This window comes from Homo sapiens, chromosome 3, assembly GCF_000001405.40.
Source record: "Homo sapiens chromosome 3, GRCh38.p14 Primary Assembly".
In the NCBI taxonomy this organism is placed as follows: Eukaryota; Metazoa; Chordata; class Mammalia; order Primates; family Hominidae; genus Homo; species Homo sapiens.
This window is the reverse complement of record NC_000003.12, coordinates 184,152,413-184,174,081: the sequence shown is the minus strand read 5'-3', so window position 1 is coordinate 184,174,081 and position 21,669 is coordinate 184,152,413. Positions and strand designations below refer to the sequence as shown.

Genomic DNA, 21,669 nt, shown 5'->3' with positions numbered 1-21,669 from the left:
GAATTTAGTTTGACATGGGATTTGAAATCCCCTCTTTGATAAACAGAATCTTTACATCCAAGCTGAGGAGACAGACCCAACCCTCACACATGAAAGGCCTGCTTGGTTCTTGCAGAGTCTTAAGAAAATCTGTTGGCTCTTCTCTTTCTGTAGGCAGAGATAAACTGCTGCCTTCCTTGGGCAGGACTACGCCTGTCATGGGAGGAAGGAAGGGCAAGAAAGGACAGATCTGGTTGCAAATGTTACAGTCCTTCCCAGCCTCCAGCCAGAAGCCACGATGTGGCAGGATGAAGATCTGACCTCTCTCACATCATAGTCACGGCCTGAAGTCATTAAGTGACTGAATACAGGCACTTCTAATTTTTGAACCAGCACTCAAGGCTTCACTTCTACCTTTGCAAAAGCTTTATCTTCCAAAAATACCCTAAACTGCTACCAATTTAGAGTAAATAATAATAATGATAAAATAATAATAATAATAGCTACCATTTATTGAGCACCTACTCTACTGTGTGCCAGGCACTGTGCTAGGCACTTTTCGTACAATATCTAATTTAAATCCTCACAACAACCCTGTGAGGTAGGTATTATTATCATCATTTTACATACGAGGGAACTGAGGCTCAGAGAGGTTAAATAACTCTATCACACAACCAAAAATAGTAGAGCTGGAATTCAAACCCAAAACCACCTAACTCCAAATCCCATGCTCCAATGAATTAAAGTAGAGAGGGGAGAGGGAGGGCCAAATTCAAGACAGAGTGTTGGAGTGAAATGGATATGATATGCTGATAAGATATGGGAAGAAGGAATGTAAGCTCATAAATGTTTCTAGCTGGTGAGCCTATGTAGATTGTGATGAAGTAACCAGGAGAGGAATTCAGGAGGAACATACTTGGTTGGGCAGATGAGTTGAGTCTATACGGAACTGTCCATAGAGATGTCCAGTAGGTAATACCAATACAGATCTAAAGTCTGGGGGAAGTTGGGGGTTGGAGCTATGTATTTGGGAATCACCAGCATATCAGCAGCAATTGAGGACATCAGGATGAATGACTCCATTTTGGGAGTAAATAGAAAGGAAAGAGAAGTGAATCAAAGATGGAACGATGGAAGCACTGATACTGACAGGCATGAGCAATCGTTGAGAAATTCTCAAGAGAGTCGGACAAGACAGAGTCAGAGAGAGAAGTACATGAAACAGCCCTGTAGTGGTGGCTAGAAGCCATGGACTGGGTTGGGAACAATTCTAGAGCTCCCAGAAGGCAGGCAAGATTGAGTCACACTTCCAACAAAGCCCTCTGCACACCAAAACCCCAGGAAGTATTGTTTTTCTTTGTTAGTTTGCTTTTGAGACAGAATCTCACTCTGTCACCCAGGCTGGAGTGCGATCTCAACTCACTGCAACCTCCGCTTGCTTCCTGGATTCAAGCGATTCTTGTGCCTCAGCCTCCTGAGTAGCTGAGATTACAGGCAGGTGCCAAAACACCCATCTAATTTTTGTATTTTTAGTAGAGACAGGGTTTTGCTATGTTGGCCAGGCTGGTCTCGAACTCCCGACCTCAAGTGATCCACCTGTCTCAGCCTCCCAAAGTGCTGGGATTACAGACGTGAGCCACCGCACCCGTCCAAGGAAGTATTGTTAATTGAAATAAATGCCAAAATGTTCCTACCTTGGTTTACCCCAAAACCTGGAGCTAAGAACTTCATCTCACTTTTGACACCCCAGCCCCCAAAATATGGAAGCCCAGGAGAGCCAGGAGAATTTATAGCAGAGGCTTAAAGAGAAAGTTATGATTTGTTTAAAGTAGAGAATAAGGTGAAAAATAAAACCTGGTACTCTGTCTGGAAGTCCTGGAAGTCTCCTTGCCCAACCTCAACTGGCCTGTGGGCTCCTGTGTCCTTGCTCTGGGATGCCATGGTGAATGTGAAAACAGGGGAGGTTGTGTGTGGGGGTGGGAATGGCCTGTCGGTTGCAAGGCGAGTCCTTTGCTGAGCCCAGCCTGAGACCCAGCTTATGGGCTTTATCCAGGTGAGAAAATGCTGGGGACATGTGTGCGAGGTTTAAGGTCTACCAGGAAGGGGAGAAGGGTGTCAGGGGACCAGCCCCACAACCTAGGAGAGGATTAGGAGGGTCCAGCCCTTTGGGCAGGGACCAGCCCTGAGGCTTAAATGAACTTGCATAGGCACCTGTGTATGCATCTCTGTGCATGTATGCATACATGAGTGAGAGAGAAAGATAAAGAGAGCTAAAGAGGCCCCCCTCCCCCCGCCGCAGGCTGCCACACGTGGTGCGATCCGATTCTCTCTGGAAAGGAGGAGAGTCTCTCATGCATGGGTGAAGTTGGGCCCTCCCCAGAAGCCTAGTGACTCATTATGTTAACGTGTGGGTGTGGGGGCTGGACATCCTTGGGAAGCCCTGAGGGGCTGCTGAAGCAGGGTTCCTGGTCTCCTCGGAGGCTGGGCCTCCCCTCGCTGGGGGCTCACAGAAAGTCAAACAGCCCGAAATTCTTGGCTGCTCCAGGCCCAGGGTAAATTGGGGGAGGAAAAAAGAAAGAAAAGAAATGTTTCAGGCCTGGAGGTGAGATGAGCCTGCTGGTTAGTAGGGTTAGGGGTCTGAAGGAACCAGCACGCAGGGCAGGCATGGGGCAGGGGTAGAGCAGAGATGCTCCCTGGAAGCCACCAGCTGCTCAGGCAACTGAGGGGGCCCTCTGGGCCTCTGATCTAGGCACAGGCAGGGATGGCATGGATGGCTATTGGAGGCGACTACAGCTTTAGGTTGCAGGACTGAGGCAGCAGGCAGGGGGATGGTTAGTAGGGGCAGATGAAGCAAATATATTTTGGTTTCAGTAATGTGGGGTAAAGTCAAGAGGTTTGCACACGTGCCTGATGGGGTGGGGTTAATAGAGGGATGATGTAGCTGAATAAATGGTGAAAGGGAGCTAAAGGGGAAACGAGAGAATGAGGGAGTGAGCGTGCCACCAAGGTCATTGCTGGGGTCAACTCCCAAAATGGGGGTTGCAGAGGGGAGTAAGGGGTAGCACCAACAAGTCTGGTCCCAGAGACAAAAGGGGTCCTGGGAAGTCCTGCGCAGGGATTAGTGGGCAGAGGAAACGAACTGGGGCCAGAGGCAGGTTAGGGGGCTGCAGAGCCAATCGGTAGGTGCACCCCACCCTCGCAGCACCCTGCGAGCAGTTAGCGCACCTGGATTTAGTTCCTTTTATTTCCCTTTCAGGTACCAGACAAAGTAAAAAAGACGGACGGATGGAGAGAGGAACGCAGCCGGCTGGGGTGGGAGCGGAATGGAGCTGGGGGAGGGGCCCTGCTCACATCACATCCACAAAGAACTCACTGGGGTTTCCCATGGCCATGCGGAAGGACTGTCTGCTGGCGGTCAGTTCCGGGGGCACTGAGGCCAGGTCGCGGCCCGGAGGGGCTCCTGGGGGCCCCATGGCCGCGGGCGGCGGGGGCATCATCAGCATGGGGGGGCCGTAGAGAGGGGGCACTCCGGGAGGACCGTAGCTCGGGTGTGTGTGGTGGCTGCGAAGGCTGCTGGCCAGGGAATGGTGGCTGCGGTGGCTGTGCTCGCTGGCCGCCGGCCCTGAGCGCTCGCTGGGCGCCCGCTCCCGCGGCCCCCGCAGGCTGCTGCGTGTGGTGTGGTCCGATTCGCTGCCGCTGCCCCCGGACTTGGAGTCCCCGGCCTTCGGGTCCTTCTCCTTCCTCCGATCGCTGCCGCTACGGTTGGAGCCACTGCTCCGACTGCCTGTAGGAGGCAAACAGGGCCGGGGTGGGGCAGGCTGAGCGGGCGGGGGAAGCCTGGGGCCCACCTATAGCCTTCCTCCACGGCCCCTCTACCTTACCTTCGCTGTGCTGACTGCTGGCGCTGCCCCCGCCGTAGCTGTAGCCCAGCTCCGGGAAGCCCGGGTGCGGGTTGTATGGGTGCGGGGGTGGCGGGTACTGGTACGGGAAAGCCATGGGCCAAGGGGCGGCCCCCGGGTGCGGCAAAGGGGCCAGTGTGTCCTGGTCAGAGGCGCCACTGGAGCCATCGTGATCGTGGAGAGACAGGTTGGCCATGTCTGTGAAGGGGAGGGCCGGATGGAGCTAGGTCTTTCCGGAGAGAGGTCCCTAGCCTAGGTCAGGTGGGCTCTGGATGAGAGAGACCGTGGTAGTTTCTGGCTAGAATGAGAGGAGGCACAGCCCAGAGAGCTCCCCCCTTCTGCAGACCCCCTTTGCCACCACCAGAGCCAGCCCCGGGGAGACCCTTCTCAGGACAACCCTGAGTCATCATTCTAGGTTCTCAGCCAAAGCTGTACCTCCCAATCCCTTGAAGGCCCTGGCCAAGCTTTTGCACTTTCTCTGCTGGCCTCAGTGGGCTAGAAGCGGCAAAACTCTTTGAGACGGAGTCTTGCTCTGTGGCCAAGGCTGGAGTGCAGTGGTACAGTTTCAGCTCCCTGCAACCTCTTCCTCCCTGGTTTAAGCGATTCTCCTGCCTCAGCCTCCTGACAGGGTTGCACCACCACACCTGGCTAATTTTTTTTTTTGTATGTTTAGTAGATACAGGGTTTTGCCACGTTAGCCAGGCTGGTCTCCAACTCCTAACCTCAGGTGGTCTGCCCGCCTCAGCCTCCCAAAAGGCTGGGATTACAGGCGCGAGCCACTGCGCCCGGCCTGCAAAACTCTTATGTGGCCATTTTCTCTTCCGTTCACTCAGCTGGTGCAAGACTGGAGAATTTGGAAGGCTGAAATACTAGACAGCCACCAGGTATGTCGCACCTGAAGTTCATGAGGCACAATAGCGAACACTACCTTCAGCTCAGCCTAAACTAATCAGAACAGACGCGAAGAGTAGCTTACTTTCTCCTTACCTTCTCAGATGAGGTCATTAATTAGGACAAGGAGCAGTTTGGGAAATTTAGGTAAAGTGTTACCCACCCCTTCACCTAGAACTAAATACCCACTAAAAGCCTAGAATGAGTGCAGGGCCTTCCAGAGATTCCCTATATAGAAGGTACTTGGCCCTGATTATACTTTCCCAGTGCTGCTGGGCAGGGTGAGTAGGGTGGGAAGGGGCCAGAAGGAAAGAACAACTTAGGTGCCTCCCCCACTGCTCTCCACCCCGTTCCCAGCCAGGCCTAGCTCTTCATAGCACTGTCTCACTCCACCAACATTACTCATCTCACGATCCTGGCGCCCCCGGGGAAATTATACATTCCTTAATGGCAAGGCTACTCCCACCAATGTTGGAACTACATTGAAGAGAATATAAGGGGCCACCAGGACTGAATACCTGCCTGGGACACCCTCTGCTCACACACTATCGGTACCAGGTCCCAGAGCTCCAAGAGAGCTACAACTGCCCTTGAGGCCACCGGCCCTATTAAGATGAGACATTCCTCCCAGCCCTAAGAAGAGCCAGCCCCAGCCTTCCAAGAGAGAAGTCAGGAGACAGGGCTCTGAGGCTGCCTGTGGAGCCTGCAGCCAAGCCATCAACCTGTCAAGAGGCCAGCAGCCAGCATGGGGAGTGGTGGTGGAGGAAAGCAGTGGTCTGTCAGCTGTTGCCCAGAGCTGGTGATGACGTGAGCCTCCAGGCTGTTTGTTTTGAGGGAATGACTGTGTGCTCCTCGGGGCTACCTAGGCCTCCAGTTCTTCCCTTTAAGCCTACAACACCCTAGCTGAGACCTTGACGAGTGAGAAGGAAAAGGCCTATTCTGGCAGTATCCTCCTGAGCTGGGCCTCTGGGAGGTTGTGAATATTGAGTAAGATGATGCTTTAGGAACAACCAACATGGTACCAGGCAGAGCAGGCACTTAGAAAATGCCAGGCCCAAGAGGGAGATGTGGGCCAGGTGAAGAGGCTAAACTGGACTCTTCTTCCACCATAGAACTCTCAGGCCTTGAATTGGGCCCCTGGCTCTGCTGTCCCCCAGTTTGGGTTCCCCAGAGTCTGCTGCCACTTCCCTGGCTACCTCCCCACTCCCAGCCAGGAGACAGGGCAAGAAGATGAGGGAGGCACATACTGCCGCAGAGGTCACCGAAGATGTAGTAGCACTGCTCGGAGAAGGTGATCTTGTTGACGGTATGGCGGATGAAGCCAGCTTTCAGCAGGTTGCTGGCATACTTGCGGGCCTCCCTCCGGTCCGTGAAGCCTTCCACATTGTGGTACAGCCAGTCCACCACATCTGAGCCTGGGGACAAGGCTGCCAGTTGATGGGGAGGCCCATCTGACTTGGACTCATCTGGCCTCACAGAAGCTATGAGGCTGGGGCTGGCTCCAGATCAAAGGAAGGGTCCAAGGCAAGTCCTGGGCCCTCCGGCCTGCCCTGCCCCATCACTCCCCACCCACCCTGCATCCCACCATGGGGCTCTCTCACCGATGAAAGCATTAGGGATGGTAATCTTGAGCCACATGCGGTCACGGACCTCCAACCCTGATTCAGGGGAGGCCATGGCTTTTACGATGGCAGCCATGTCACTGTGGATGGACAAGTGGAAGTCGTCTAGGCCTGGGGGTGGGAGGCAGAATGGTGAGGCAGAAAGGGGCTTTGGAGTTAGGTAAACAAGAGTTTGCATTCTAGCTCTACCATCTAGTAATTATGGGATCAATGCTGGGAAAATTACTGATTTCTTGGACACTCAGTTTCCCCTTCTGTAAAAAATGGGGATTTTAATATCTACTTTACAAGGCTATTTGAATAAAGGATTAAATAATGTAAATGCAGGTGCTTGGCCAGTGTACGATGTGCATGTGATGATAATCGAAATGGCTGCCGTTTACTGAATGCTTACTTTACACCACACATCGCAATGGTGCTTCACTTATATCCTCTCATTAAACCCACAGGAACCTGGTAAAGTTTATATCGTGAGTCCCATTTTGTAAGAGGAAACTGAGGCGCCCTGGGTGCTCATACAAGTTCAGAAGCAAACACTGTTTAGTGAGGGTTGGAGTGCCCGCTGTGGGGGAGTTGCAGTGTGGGGTTGCTGGAATGAGCCGAGCCCCATCTCCAGCCCTCTCTGATGCTCAAGCAAGAGTCTCCACATGGACCCTCATCAGTCCCCCCACCTGGCCCTGTCTGCTGGGCCCAGGAGACAGGGTGGGACACTCACGCTCTGTGTCAGGGATGGAACTGGTGATGGAGGAGCTGGTGGAGGTGATGGTGCTCAGGGAGGGGCTCATGCCGTATGCAGGGAAGGTGCCGGTCATGGCTGCAGTGTGGGAGACCCAGGCCGCAGGGTCAATGGGCCGGATGGGCTCGCCTGCAGGGAGGATGAGGAGTCATGGGCTACCCACCCCACCCACTGCTGGGCCCAACAGGATAGATATGGGGGTTCTGGGTGAGAGAAGAAAGGAGAGACAGTGCTCATGTATGTAAGCACCAGCTTTAGGACTGAGTCTCCCATCCACTTACTCCTGGGCAATGTGAAGCAACCACGTGGACTTGGGTCCCAGCACTTGGCTACAGTCAGGGTGATGGGCCTGAAAACAAGGGTGTCCTAGTGAAGGCAGGATGCGTATAGGCCAGACCAAGCCCCTTGCCCAGTGCCCCATTCCATCCATACCCCGGTTTGTGCACAATCTCCCGCAGTACCCGGACTGCATCGTCATTACTCATGTTCTCAAAGTTGATCTCGTTTACCTGGGAAAGGACCAGGAGTGGGATAAACAGCTGTGCTGGGGAGGATGAAAAGGGAACTCAACTTGGTAGGTCAGGGAGTCTTCCCCCAACCAAGAAGGGGCCTCTGAAGGAGCAGGGTACAGATGGTAGGACACCTCCCTGCCCTCTATCCACACCACCGCCTAGGATGGGCACTGATACCTGTAACAACATATCTCCTGGCTCGATGCGTCCATCAGCAGCCACGGCCCCACCCTTCATGATAGAGCCAATGTAGATGCCGCCGTCACCACGCTCGTTGCTTTGGCCCACAATGGAGATGCCCAAGAAGTTATATTTTTCTATAGAGAGTAATTTAAGACCTTAAGGGGGAGCAAGGTTCCTACCCGCATTCCCAGCCCATTAGAAAATGGAAAGGGACAGGAACTGAACTGACATTTGCTGATCCTGAATCAGGCACTGCACTCAGCATGCTCAAACATGCTTCCATGGAACCCTTGCTGGCTATAAGGTAGGGACTCAGTCCCATTTTACAGAGCAGGCAACTGAGGTTCAGTGAACTTAGAAGATGACTTTTCTAAGCCAGTAAGTGGCAGAGCCAGGAATCAAACTCAGATTTAAATCCCATAGTTGGGCTCCTTTTACTATATCCAGCTGTCTCATAAAGAGAGTACCTAGGGCAGAAATCGGAGAGCAAGGATGCAATGGCTGAGAGATGTGAAGGAGTGGGCACTCAGAAATCACTTCCTCCAGGAAGCCTTCCCTGATACCATTTTCTGCTTCCACAGCTCTCTGTGCTTATCTCTGTCATAGCCCTGATGGTGAGATACTAAAATGATCAGTTTATGTATCAGCTGATGTTTACGAAAGAGAGCTCCTTGAGGGCAGGGAACATATTCTACGCTCTCTGAACTCAAGTCTGCCCAGTGTCTGGCATATAGCAGGTGCTTGAGAGTGCTGTTTCCTCAGACTCACCCATGTTGAGAGTGACCGTGATGATGTTGAGTGACATGGTGGAGTCCGTGATGCTGCTGAAGGACGAGGACTGGAATAGACAGAGGCCCTGAGCAGCAGGTGGAGGTGGCAGGAATTCACTCCCACCTGACTCCTCCTCAAGGTGAGTCCCCGGTGCAGCCCCCAGCCCCAAGGTTCTCAACACTGCACTAGGGGGATGGGATCTAAGGAAGAACAAGCCTTGGCCCTGCGTAGGAAGGGCTCACAATCTGCCTCCACCCATCCCTAGCCTCCCAGACCCCATACCCGCTCAATCCGAGAAACCTTCTGCTTCCGCCGCCGCCGCTTGTGTCTTCTCATCAGGCGTGAGGCACTGCTCTGTTCTGTGGAGCTGCTGAACCTGTGGGGCCCACAGTCGTTCCCCACCAGGCTGGCCCAGCCCTGCCCCCATGAGGGGAGGCACTGCAGGGCCTGGGTCCCCAACACAAAGCCCATAAGCCTCCCAGGGGCCCCGCATCCTCAGGGTTTAGGGCTCCTCCAGGGTCACCTGCCCCACAATACCCATGAAACTCAAGCCCCACCTGCTGGTGGAGTCATCCTCATCTGAGTCAAAGAAGCTGGTGGTCTCCAGCTCACTGCTCATAAGGGTGGATGAGCTATCATAACCCCCTGGTTCTCGCCGCCGTTCCCCCTTCGCAGTTCCATTTAGCCGGGTTGCTGCAGGGGATGGAAGCAGTTGGGTTTACACAGTGCCCAGTGCAGGGGTGAAGGAGGGAGAGAGGCAAGCCAGGGGCTGCACTGGGGCCAGGCATATCCTGAGCTCGGGAAGTAGGGCAAGAAGGTGGGTAGCTGGGTGGAAAGTGAGGGGAGGGTGTGAGGTGCGGACAGTGTCCGTGTTCAGGAAGATATACCATGCTCTGGGCCATCCCTCCGGCGTGGCCGCTCTCGCTGGGCAGACACCAAAGAGTCCGTCTCTGTGTCATTGTCCAGGTTCTCCTGGCTGCCCCCACCAGCATGAGGGCTGCAGGGAAGAGACTTGATGGGGGAGGGGGCAGGCTGGGGGCTCCCTCCCCCAGCCCTGGGCTGAACTGATGCGGCCCTCCCCACCCTCAGGTCACACTCACTGGAAGGATGGGGGTCGGGAGTCCCCGATGCCTCCCGTGCGCTCCATAGGTGGTGGCAGCTCCGATGGGTTATCAGCACAGAAGGGGGCTGGGTCTGGGTGTGAGCCCTCAGCTGACACCAGCTGAAAGGGAGAAACTGAGTGAGTAGTATGTTACAGGAGCATCAAGGAGAAGGGGATAGTTCACTTCCAGCAAGGCATGAAGGCCTAAGAGGAAGGAAGCAGGAAATATCGAGGGAGAAAAGACAGGGCTGTGCGAGGGTGGCTGAGATGAACAGTGGCCCCTCTGCCACTTCCTGCTATTGACGGGGTTGTTGGAAGGCATGGGGTGGTGAAGTGGAATGGGGACAAAGAACAAGGCTCAGAGGTCTAAGGCAGAGATGAGCAGATGGCAGAAGGAAATCTGAGGCAAGTGTCTGAACGGCATAGGAAACGTTACTGTCTCCACTGTGTGTTTCCGTCTCTCCCTCTTCCCCCTTCCCACTAATTTCTCACTTTTCATCAAAGGTTACAGAATCTGGGGTGAGAAGCAGTTCATTTGCAAAACTAAAGAAAGATTCAGATACTGAAGCTTAAAACCACCAGCTACAATCTCAGTGATGCCTTTCCCTCGTCCAGCCCAGCACAGGGATGCAGGTGGATGGAAGGCTGAGGGCTCCTTACCCAGGACACCACCCGGCCATTGAAGCATGGTAGCTTGGCATTGTCATCCGAGATCTCCTCCTTCACCACTCTGCAGAGAAAGGGGGATGTCACAGAGAACCTTCTAGGGTGCAAATGGAGGATCCTCAAATCCCAACTCTCAGGGGCTCCTCCATCCTAAACTGGGAATCAAACCACCAGCACAAGACTGTTCAAATGAAAGCAGAGGTTGGGGAGACCCAGAGACAGCTCTTTGGCACCACCAGGAAGACACCAGCCCTGCCTAGGCCAGATACCTTCCCGGGGCATCCTCTCAGTCATCAGGTGATTGCAAATTACAACTGACACATCACTGTCCCCCATGCCACTCCCTAAAATCTCTAAAGTGCTCTACCCATCCCCAACATGACTCTCCTGGGCTAGACTTTCTCTTTCCCTCTGATCCCTAATTGGAAAAAAGCATACAATTATAACTGTCCTTCCTTTCTTAAGTGGGAATCCTAACATTGTTGTGGGAGGTATGGACAAAGAATTTAAGAAAATTAGAAAAGAGAAGGGGAGGCCAGGCGTGATAGCTCACACCTGTAATCCCAGAACTTTGAGAGGCTGAGGCAGGCAGATCACCCTGAGGTCAGGAGTACGAGACCAGCCTGGCTAACATGGCAAAACCCCATCTCTACTAAAAATACAAAAATTAGCCGGGTGTGGTGGTGTGCACCCATCTACTTGGGTGTCTTCCCATCTCTGTACTCCTGGCATATTTGACAGTCTGAGGGTCCTCAAACTTTTCCACTCCCCTTCCTAGCCCCAAACTGTAGTTACTGCCTGACTTCTTGCCTCACCACATTCCCCCGGCCAAACTACATGCCCCGTGACCACATTCCACACCCTTCATGCCTCACATCATTGTCCTCCAGCACCCACTCTCCACATAGACCCACGTTACCTCTGTTATTATATAGGAAAGAATGTGAAATACAGTGGAAAGAGTATGGATTTTGGAGTCAAGCCTGGGGTGAAATTCCAGCTCTGACATCTACCAGTCCTGTGATCCCAGCTACTTGGGAGGCTAAGGCAGGCGAATCACTTGAATCGGGCAGGTGGAGGTTGCAGTGAGCTGAGATCACGCCACTGTGCTCCAGCCTGGGCAACAGAGTGAGACTCCGTGTCAAAAAAAAAAAAAAAAAGAAAAGAAAAAGAAAAAGAGAAGGGGAGAAGGCATTTACTGAACATTTTCCACATGCCATTATGATAATTAACAGTAATAATTGCTCTTTCTCACGCTGGTAATCTCAGCACTTTGGGAGGCCAAGGCAGGAGGATCGCTTGAGGCCAGGAGTTTTGAGACCTGCCTGGTCAACATAGCGAGGTGCCGGCTCTACAAAACAAAACAAATACAAAAATTAGCCGAGCGTGGTAGCGTATGCCTGTGGTCCCAGCTACTTGGAAGGCTGAGGTGGGACGATCGCTTGAGCCTAGGAGTTCAAGGCTGCAGTGAGCTATCATTGTGCCACTGCACTCCAGCCTGGGTGACAGAGCAAGACCCTGTCTCAAAAAAAAAAAAAAAATTGCTGTCATTTATTGAGCATAAATGAGTATTATGGGCCAAGCACTATGCTAAACACTTTACTTATATAATTTCATTTAATACAACAATGCTATAAGGCAGCAGGTACAATGGGGAAACTAGGCTCAATAGGTTCAGTAATTCTCCTAAACTGCTGAAATTTGAATCCTGGTTAGCCTGACTCTAACATCTGCATTCTTACCATTACACCACCTTATCTTCCTATAGTTAGAACCTATAATCTTCACATCAGCCTCAGTGGGCAGACTATGATCTTCATTTCATGAATAAGGAAACTGAGATGTATTCAGTTAACTTGTCCAAGGTCACAGGACTGGTAGATGTCAGAGCTGGAATTTCACCCCAGGCTTGACTCCAAAATCCATACTCTTTCCACTGTATTTCACATTCTTTCCTATATAATAACAGAGGTAATGTGGGTCTATGTGGAGAGTGGGTGCTGGAGGACAATGATGTGAGGCATGAAGGGTGTGGAATGTGGTCACGGAGCATGTAGTTTGGCCGGGGGAATGTGGTGAGGCAAGAAGTCAGGCAGTAACTACAGTTTGGGGCTAGGAAGGGGAGTGGAAAAGTTTGAGGACCCTCAGACTGTCAAATATGCCAGGAGTACAGAGATGGGAAGACATGACCAAGGGTAAGATGACGCATGCCAGGAGCTCTGAGCAGAGAGGGAAGACAGCAAGGAGGAGGTTGGGAAGTTCAGTCCCCACTTGTTCTTTGGTTTTTTTTTTTTGAGACGGAGTCTCGCTCTGTCACCCAGGCTGGAGTCCAGTGGTGCAATCTCAGCCCACTGCAACCTGCGCCTCCCGGGTTCAAGTGATTCTCCTGCCTCAGCCTGCCGAGTAGCTGGGATTACAGGTGCCTGCCACCACGCCTGGCTAATTTTTATATTTTTAGTAGAGATAGGGTTTCACCGTGTTGGCCAGGGTGGTCTTGAACTCCTGACCTCAGGTGACCCGCCCACCTCGGCCTCCCCAAATGCTGGGATTACAGGCGTGAGCCGCCGTGCCTGGCCCCCCTTGTTCTTAGAGCAGCTTCTGCCCAGAGCTGGGAATGTGCTTGGCTCCCTTGTGATGCTCACATTTTTGGACTCACAGCCAAGTTCACAGGCCAAGCCTGCCCTCCCCACTCCCATCCAGCTCTGGCTCCTCTATCATTCCCAGAGCCACAGCGACCCTCGGAAAGCAGCCCAAATCATCCTACTGCGGCCCACCATGGCAGAAAGTGTAGAAAGGACAGGCTAGAAAGAAGGGACACAGAGGTAGCTCAGACCCACCAGCCACTCTGGCCACAGGGTACTCCAGGTTGGCAGCCCCACAGGGCTCAAAGGAAAAGGGAATATGTGGGCCACATGGCACAGCCTGCTTTGGATAGGGTCTGCCTGTCTGGGGGAAATTGCTGCTGAGTCCCTACCTCCCTGCTCCCCTGGCAGGCCCCACCACACTGCTCCACACTACACGTTTCCTCTCTTTCTGGGGGTCATCGACAGGCCACCAAGGCTCTGCTGACTCAAAACAATCAGCTGATCTTCAGCAGCTTTGGGGAACCTCAGACAGGTCTTACTCTCCCACCATGGAGCTGAATGGCTGGGGTTTACATAGCACTTACACACACACACACACACTCATACCCCAAATGGAGTCAAACAAATAATGACTCAAATTCCAATTCTACCACTTACTGGCCCTCTTATCTTAGAGAAGTTTCTTAATTTCTCCAAGCCTTTGTCTCATCCTGGTAAAAGGGATCCTTAAATGCCTGGCATGATCCAGGCATACAGTAAAAGCTAATTATATTGTCCATTTTTAGCAGGATCCATACACTATTTCTAACTACGTATACATTATTAAGGGCAAAGCAAATAAACCTGTTCATCATTCATTGTTCATCCAATTAAAATGCTTTGACTGGCAGGGCACGGTGGCTCAGGCCTGTAATCCCAGCACTTTGGGAGGCCAAGGTGAGCGGATCATGAGTCAGGAGATCAAGACCATCCTGGCTAATACGGTGAAACCCCGTCTCTACTAAAAATACCAAAAAAAAAAAAAAAAAATTAGCAGGGCGTGGTGGCGGGCACCTGTAGTCCCAGCTACTCGGGAGGCTGAGGGAGGAGAATGGCGTGAACCCAGGAGGCGGAGCTTGCAGTGAACCAAGATCGTGCCACTGCACTCCAGCCTGGGCGACACAGCGAGACTCCCTCTCAAAAAACATACAATAAAATAAAAATAAAAAATAAAAAAATAAAAATAAAATAAAATAAAATGCTTTGGCTGAGGGCCCAGTGGGTTTCAGGTCCTGAGCTTGCTATTGTAGGTTTTCTCATGAAACATCAGACCCAGAGCCTGCCTTGTTCTCAGAGAGACTATGGTCCAGTGGATAGTTCATGGAAATATACTGCAATCCAGGAAGTGGTTGGAGCCGTAGGAGCAGCACATGTGTTCAATGGATAGACATCTGCTGAGTGTTACACAGGTGTCAGGATATAAAGATAAAATATACCAGGCACGGTGGCTCACACCTGTAATCCCAGCACTTTGGGAGGCCAAGGTGGGCGGATCACTTGAGGTCAAGAGTTCGTGACTAGCTTGGCTAACGTAGCAAAACCCCATCTCTATTTAAAATACAAAAATTAGCCAGGTGTGGTGGCACACACCAGTAGTCCCAGCTATTTGTGAGGCTGAAGCAGGAGAATCGTTTGAACCCGGGAGGCAGAGGTTGCAGTGAGCCAAGGTCGCACCACTGTACCCCAGCCTGGGTGACAAAGCCAGGCTCCATCTCAAAAAAAAAAAAAAAGGATAAAATAAGAGAGTGCCATGACAGTTCTCACAGAAAAGCTCAACCCAGAAGACAGGAGAATTTGAACCTGGAGGAGACAGGGGAAGAAGAGTCTGCAGGTGGAAGGCCCAGAGGGAGGACAGTGGAGCAGGAAGCCACACAGCTAATGACCTGATCGCCATGCTGCCCTCTCTCACAGCTCAAGGCCAGACTAGCAGTAGGCACCTTACTTCTATGAACCATCCACCATGCCCTCAATGCTGAAAATGTTTATCCTTCCTCCATTTCTCAAATAACTTAAGATGGCAGGCCAGGCGCGGTGGCTCATCACCTGTAATCCCAGCACTTGGGGAGGCCGAGGTGGGTGGATTGCTTGAGGTCAGGAGTTCCAGACCAGCCTGGCCAACGTGGTGAAACCCCATCTCTACCAAAAATACTAAAATTAGCCAGGCATGGTGGCTCATGCCTGTAATCCCAGCTACTTGGGAGGCTGAGGCAGGAGAATCACCTGAACCCGGGAGGCGAAGGTTGCAGTGAGCCGAGATTGCGCCACTGCACTCCAGCCTGGGTGACGAGAGCAAAACTCCTCAAAAAAAAAAAAAAAAGAAAAAAAATTTAAAAAGATGGCTGGGCCTACCCTGAGCTTGACAAATACTTTTGTAGACCAGATGGGACTTGAGGAGCCTCACAACTAGCACCTCAAAGGCTGAGCCAGGAGTGGAGAAACTGGAGAGACAGCAGCCTTCCTCCTCTGACCCACTTTCCTTCCTCTAGGGTCACTGACCTCCGCCTGACCTTCCTCTTGTGGGGCTCGGAGAAATGGTGGCCTTGTCACCTCTACAGTTTTCCAAGGCTTACCACCTCCCTCGGAGAGGATTCATCAGTAAAATGGTGATAATAATGACACCTAAAATTGTGCGATTAAGGATTTAGATTTTTGGATCCAGATTCCTGATGTCAAAGCAAGCTCTGCTCTGCCTCTTATTAGCTGTGTGACCTTAGGCAAGTTACTTAAGCTTTCTGTGCTCTAGTTTCCTTTTTTTTTTTTTTCTGAAACACGGTCCCACTCTATTTTCCAGGCTGGAGTACAGTGGCACCATCACAGCTCACTGCAGCCCCAAACTCCTATGCTCAAGTGATCCTCCTGTCTCAGCCTCCCAAGTTGGGACTACAGGCACAAAGCATCATGCCTGGCTAATTAAAAAATTTTTTTGTAGAGATGGGGTCTTGCTATGTTGCCAAGGCTGGTCTCAGATTCCTGGCCTCAAGCAATCCTCCCACCTCAGCCTCCCAAATTGCTGAGATTACAGGTGTGAGCCACCATGCCTGACAGAGTTTCATTTGTAAACTAGAGATACTATTACGCTATCTATTTCATAAGGCTGTTTCGAAGATTAAATGAGTGAAGATTTGAAAAGCATTTAGATTAGTCCCTGGCACACTAAGCATAAAAGGCGTGTGTTAAATAAATGAAACATATATATATGCTCTTCAGCTATTAGTCCTCTGTGACAAGACAGCTCTATCAGTTCCCCTGCTCATTTATCCTTCTGGGGATACAAACAGAATCCATCTCCTCCACTTCATTTTTAATACTGTTTTCAACCCTGCTAAAATGGTCCAACTCTGATTTTGGTTCAAGTACCACTGATGTTTGCAAGATGGCTTCAGGTGGCACACAGATTAACATTGCTTAGTTCAATCATTAAATATTTATGTTAAACATATTTTAGAAAGAAATATAAACAGAAAAGTCAGACCTATGGTTTCATATTATTGCTTGGTTCAAGCTAAGAAAAACAGTAAGTGGACTGACAATGGATTTAAAGAAAAATATTAAGTAACAGTGACTGGATGTAATGGGGGCCCTCTTAAAACTGCAGTTAGGCCTTGGGATTGGGAGAGCAGCCCAGAGTTGTCCAGGCTTAGGAGGCAGGGGCCAGGTCCAGTGGGTCTGGAGATAAGTACAGGGTGGAGAGACAGCCTATCTTAGTCCCTCAAGGCATCTGGATCTGAGGTGGCCCCAGGGCACTGGACTCTGGCTCATCTTCCCCCATTCCTTATGTGGAGGCAGTAGCTTGATCCCTTCTAACCCTATTCTTCTCTTGCCAGGCCAAAGTATCCACCCCCTCACCCAGACCCCTTCTAGATCCATCCCTCCTCAGAATCTTCCAATTAGAGGTGTCTGTCTCTGGGCTGAAGGCAGACAATCATTATCACACCAGGAGCACCCCACCCCAGGGCAGGAACAACAACAGAAACAAGAATAGTTAGAATCTACAAAGCACTGCCCACTGTACAAAGCACTCTCACACACATGATTTCAGGGGCTCATCCAACCCTGAGTTCCAGGGCAGAAGGTGACAGCAAAACATGCCAGGCATTAGACAGAAGGTGCTTGCTTCCTAGTGCTAGGTGGGCCAGGGGCTTGGGAGAGAAGCCAGACAGATGAACACTGGGGAGAAGAATGTCTCCTCTTGGCTGTGGGGCCTCAGCTCCAAAGAGCAGTGCAGGCCTCAGGCTAGGGCTGGAGAGGCAGCCTTCAGGCCTGGAGGGGCCTTCCCCACCGCCTCCAGGCCCAGCGCCCAGTTAGTGAGGCGGCAGGCAAGTGTGGGCGCCTCCCCCTCCCCCAGTCTCCTGGGAGTTGGGGGGGTTCGAGGGGGATCAGCCAGGCCCCCCTCTTCCCAGGCCAGCTGCTTCAGAACCTTCCGGCTCCAACATTCCATCCCCTCTTAAAGGGAAAGTGACTGCTTCCAAACTGTGCCTGTCCAGATCTCTGCAGCTGGGTGGAAGGGAAGACCCCACCAGGGAGGGGAAGATAGAGAACACCAAGAAACTCTTCCTGGCTATCCCACCCAGGCCCCAGGCCCTTCCTAACGTCTCTCCACTGGCCACCAACTGGAGGAAAAAAGCCCGAATTGGAGGAAAGATCAGCACCTGGGTCAGTGAGGACTACTCCGCAGGGGTCAGGCTCTCTGTTCCGGTGACAACACCCACAACAGCCCACAAAGGAGAGGGCAGGCAGCTAGATAAACATCAGATCTGCAGACCCCGCTCGCGGCCAGGCGCCCGAGCACCCCCGACACCCCTCCCCCAGCTCAAAGTCCCAGCAGAGCCCTCAGATGCAGCATACTCCAAATATGGCTGGGAGCTGTGCTGCTGAAAAGATGAAGGGGGCGAAGAACGAGGGCCACACGACCCAAGTCTGTGCGGAAAAAGGTGGCTCTGGCTCCTCGGCAGGAGGAGGATGGGGGACTCGGGCTCTGAAACTAGGTGGAGGGGGGGTGTGTCTGTCTCTGTGGGCCACTGGTCTCTGAAGAGGTAAGGGGACCGCACCGGCAGGAACTCTGATTGCTAGTGGGGAATTGGACGTCCCCTTAAACAAGGGAGGCCAACGTCCCCTCTTCAGAGGTAAACGGGAGTTGCTACTGGGGCTGGAACCAAAGGGGCCCAAATGGGCCGAGTCGCCCCTAGAAGTCAGAGCGGGGCTAGGAGCCGGTGTAGCGAGGCAAGTCGAAACGGACCGCGTCATCCCTTAGAAGCCAGAGCGGCCGGGGCTCCCGGAGGCGGGGCGGGGGCCATCCTCACCCGAAATCGTCGTCCATAGACTTGAAGAAGAACTTATAGCTGGGTCGCTGCAAAACGCCCTTAAAGTCCGCCAAGGTGACGCGCTCGGCGGGCAGGGGCAGCTTCACAAGGTACGGCGTCTCCTGCCCATCCAAGTGGTAGATGATCTTGGTCTCGCCCATGGCTCTGGCCTCGGGCCCGGCGGCCCGCGCGCGGCCTGCTCGGGCGGCCGGGCCGAGCCTCCCAGACGGCGGCGGCGCGCGGCGCGGCCCAGCGGCTCAACCCAGCTCGGCGGCTGCTGGCGGCGCCAGCTCCCTTGTTCTCCGGCCGCTACCGGGTCCCAGCGCCGCCCGCCGCCGCCGCGGCCGCCGCTTCCGCTCCCCACTCTCCCGACTGGACTGGCGACCGCGACTCTTCCGGTGGCCGCGGCCCTCCCGGCCCAGGGCTTCGTCCGGGCCCGCTCCCCTCCTCCGGCCCGGCGCGGCCCCGCCCCGGCGCGCCCCGCCCCCGGCCGCCGCGGAGAGGCGCCGGCGTCGCGGCAGATGGCAGGGTTTCCCGCCCACTGGCCGGGCCGCGGCGCTCCGGTCCCGGGTCCCTAGAAACGGAAGGGGAGATTCACCGGGATGGCGGCGTTCCCGGACCCCTGAAGGCCCTGACTCCGGACCCAAGTGGGATCGGCGACTCCTCTGCAGTCCAGGAAGAGTGGAATGCAGGGATTGCTTTGGTCCCCAGAAATGGTCTGGGGAAAGAGGGTGGGTCTGACTCTGGATCCCTGGAGGAGAATGACCTCAACATGGCCCTTCAGTGTTTCTTGAGAAGCACAACTGCTGTCACTGAGTCTACTAAACTGATCTCGAGAGAAGGACAGCATCCAGTTCTGATTCCTCCCTATAACCTTAGCGTCCAGTTGCAAGGTAGTGGTTTAATAAATGGGTTGAATGCGGAATAAGTGGGGCCCGGGCGCGGTGGCTCACGCTTCTAATCCCAGCACTTTGGGAGGCCAAGGCGGGCGGATCGCCCGAGGTCGAGAGTTCAAGACCAGCCTGACCAACATGGAGAAACCCTGTCTCTACTAAAAATACAAAAAAATTAGCCGGGCGTGGTGGCGCATGCATGTAATCTCAGCTACTCGGGAGGCTGAGGCAGAAGAATCGCTTGAACACGGGCGGCGGAGGTTGCGGTGAGCCGAGATCGGTGAGTCGAGATCCTGCCTTTGCACTCCAGCCTGGGCAACAAAAGTGAAACTCCATCCCCCCTCGCCCCCCCCCAAAAAAAAAGATAAGTGGATGCATGCATGCCTAAGACAGTAAGTCTCAAACCAGAACTCCAGAACTAGGTATAGCCGGTTCCTCACAGATCTCCTCACCCCTTAACTTTTAATTCATTTAATAAATACTGAAGGCCTACTGTGTATAAGGCATATCGCATGAGATATAGCGATAGCGAGACAGACAAGGCTGCTCTCAGGACCTTCCCTCAGCTGGAGGGAAGCACATAGGCTTGTAAATACATAACTTCAGAGTGACCACTGCTATGAAGAAGGTAAAACAAAGTGATGGGATAGTGACAGGGGAAGCCAGGCGCAATGGCTCATGCCTGTAATTCCAACATTTTGGGAGGCTGAGGCAGGTGGATCACCTGAGGTTAGGAGTTCGAGACCAGCCTGGCCAAAATGGTGAAACCCCGTCTCTAGTAAAAATACAAAAATTAGCTGGACATGGTGGCGCATGCCTGTAGTCCCAGCTACTCGGGAGGCTGAGGCAGGAGAATCGCTTGAACCCGGGAGGTGGAGCTTGCAGTGAGCCGAGATCCCACCACTGCACTCCAGCCTGGGCGACAGAGCGAGACTCCGCCTCAAACAAAAACAAAAACAAAACAACCAAAACAAAACGAGAAAGAGGTTTCTGATTGGTTAGAGAAAACTTCTTCCAGAAAAAAAGACCTAGAAATAGCAAGGATGAAGTGGCTATGAGAAGATCTGGGGTGACAGCCTTCTAGGCAGAGGGCACAGCCAATATACAGGCTCAAGGCAGGAATAAACATGTTACATTTGAGGAATAAGAAGGCCATCATGACTAAAGGAACAGTCCTAGGTGAGGCTGGAAACATAGACCCGCCAGATTACATAGGGCCTTGGATGCTATGGTCTTAAGTATGGGCTCCTTCTACTCCATTTTATACACTGTTGCCAAATTAACACTAGAATAACAACATCATTCAGATACCTCTTCTACTCAGAAACCTTTCCACATTCCCCAAAGCCCCCAAATATCCCTATTCAAGGCCCCCCATAATCTAACCTCTACCTACTTTTACAGCCTTTTGTCTCATATCCTGGCCAAATTTTTGACTCCAGGAAAATGAACCCACTTGCTAGCCCCTGCACACACCTTATGTATATCGTCACTTCATACCCTTTCCTTCACCTTCTTTACATTTTTTATCAAAGTAATATGTTTGGAAGTCAAATAGTATTTAAACAGCTTTTTTTTTTTTTTTTTTTTTTTTTTTTTGAGATGGAGTCTCACTCTGTCGCCCAGGGTGGAGTGCAGTGGCACAATCTCGGCTCACTGCAAGCTCCGCCTCTTGAGTTCACGCCAGCCTCCCGAGCAGCTGGGACCACAGGCGCCCGCCAAATTTTTTGTGTTTTTTTTAGTAGAGACGGGGTTTCACTGTGTTAAACAGGATGGTCTTGATCTGAACTCGTGATCCACCTGCCTCGGCCTCCCAAAGTGCTGGGACTACAGGCGCAAGCCACCACGCCCGGCTTTTTTTTTTTTTTTTTTTTTTTTTTTTTTTTTTTGAGATGGAGTGTTGCTCTGTCGCCCAGGCTGGAGTGCAGTGGCACGATCTTGGCTCACTGTGAACTCCGCCTCCCGGGTTCATGCCATTCTCCTGCCTCAGCCTCCCGAGTAGCTGGGACTACAGGTGCCTGCCACCACACCTGGCTAATTTTTTACATTTGTAGTAGAGATGGGGTTTCACCGTGTTAGCCAGGATGGTCTCGATCTCCTGATCTCGTGATCTGCCTGCCTCGGCCTCCCAAAGTGCTGGGATTACAGGTGTGAGCCACCGTGCCTGGCCCTTAAAAAGCTTTTTAACAAAACAGCAGTCCTCCTTATTGGTATAGTGGTGAGAAAAACAAAACAAAAAACCCGAGCAATTCTTTGTCCTATTTCCCTACCACTCTTAGTACTTTTTTTTAGCTCATAATACTTGTTCTTGATTTATACATTTTAGACATTGCTTATTGATTTCCAAATTTGATTGATGATTCTCTGTCTTCCACCTTACCCTTCCCTCTTAAAATAGTGAAAGCACACTTTTTGGCTAAGTCAATATAGTACTTAGTAGTGACCTTATTTTGACTATGAGCAAATGTTCACCGCTAAGTCATGTGGAGTT

At 52.3% G+C, this 21,669-nt stretch overlaps 1 protein-coding gene across 1 annotated transcript, besides 5 other annotated features; it reads right to left on the bottom strand.

Annotated features, from left to right (window-relative positions):
* DVL3 (dishevelled segment polarity protein 3) lies at positions 468–18,705 on the bottom strand. Its single transcript, NM_004423.4, has 15 exons — positions 18,286–18,705; positions 10,356–10,425; positions 9,694–9,815; positions 9,481–9,590; positions 9,151–9,286; positions 8,876–8,969; positions 8,591–8,660; positions 7,817–7,956; positions 7,560–7,636; positions 7,409–7,476; positions 7,107–7,256; positions 6,371–6,502; positions 6,017–6,184; positions 3,861–4,076; positions 468–3,763 (listed from the first exon to the last, which is right to left on the bottom strand). The coding sequence occupies exons 1-15, from the start codon at positions 18,444–18,446 to the stop codon at positions 3,327–3,329; spliced, it is 2,151 nt and encodes a 716-aa protein (NP_004414.3). The 5' UTR covers positions 18,447–18,705; the 3' UTR covers positions 468–3,326.
* Positions 2,247–2,541: an enhancer, noted in NCBI's record as "tiled region #1463; K562 Activating non-DNase unmatched - State 5:Enh". NCBI's record gives its function as "activates a minimal TATA promoter and a strong SV40 promoter by Sharpr-MPRA in K562 cells {active_cell/tissue: K562}" and the evidence as "EXISTENCE:reporter gene assay evidence [ECO:0000049][PMID:27701403]".
* Positions 12,685–13,185: an enhancer, noted in NCBI's record as "H3K27ac hESC enhancer chr3:183878685-183879185 (GRCh37/hg19 assembly coordinates)". NCBI's record gives its function as "activates a minimal SCP1, AML or CMV promoter by ChIP-STARR-seq in primed H9 embryonic stem cells {active_cell/tissue: H9 hESC(primed)}" and the evidence as "EXISTENCE:reporter gene assay evidence [ECO:0000049][PMID:30033119]".
* Positions 16,368–17,243: an enhancer, noted in NCBI's record as "H3K27ac-H3K4me1 hESC enhancer chr3:183874627-183875502 (GRCh37/hg19 assembly coordinates)". NCBI's record gives its function as "activates a minimal SCP1, AML or CMV promoter by ChIP-STARR-seq in primed H9 embryonic stem cells {active_cell/tissue: H9 hESC(primed)}" and the evidence as "EXISTENCE:reporter gene assay evidence [ECO:0000049][PMID:30033119]".
* Positions 17,244–18,121: an enhancer, noted in NCBI's record as "H3K27ac-H3K4me1 hESC enhancer chr3:183873749-183874626 (GRCh37/hg19 assembly coordinates)". NCBI's record gives its function as "activates a minimal SCP1, AML or CMV promoter by ChIP-STARR-seq in naive and primed H9 embryonic stem cells {active_cell/tissue: H9 hESC(naive and primed)}" and the evidence as "EXISTENCE:reporter gene assay evidence [ECO:0000049][PMID:30033119]".
* Positions 18,459–18,808: a silencer, noted in NCBI's record as "silent region_14956". NCBI's record gives its function as "represses an Ori minimal core promoter by ATAC-STARR-seq in GM12878 lymphoblastoid cells {active_cell/tissue: GM12878}" and the evidence as "EXISTENCE:reporter gene assay evidence [ECO:0000049][PMID:35858748]".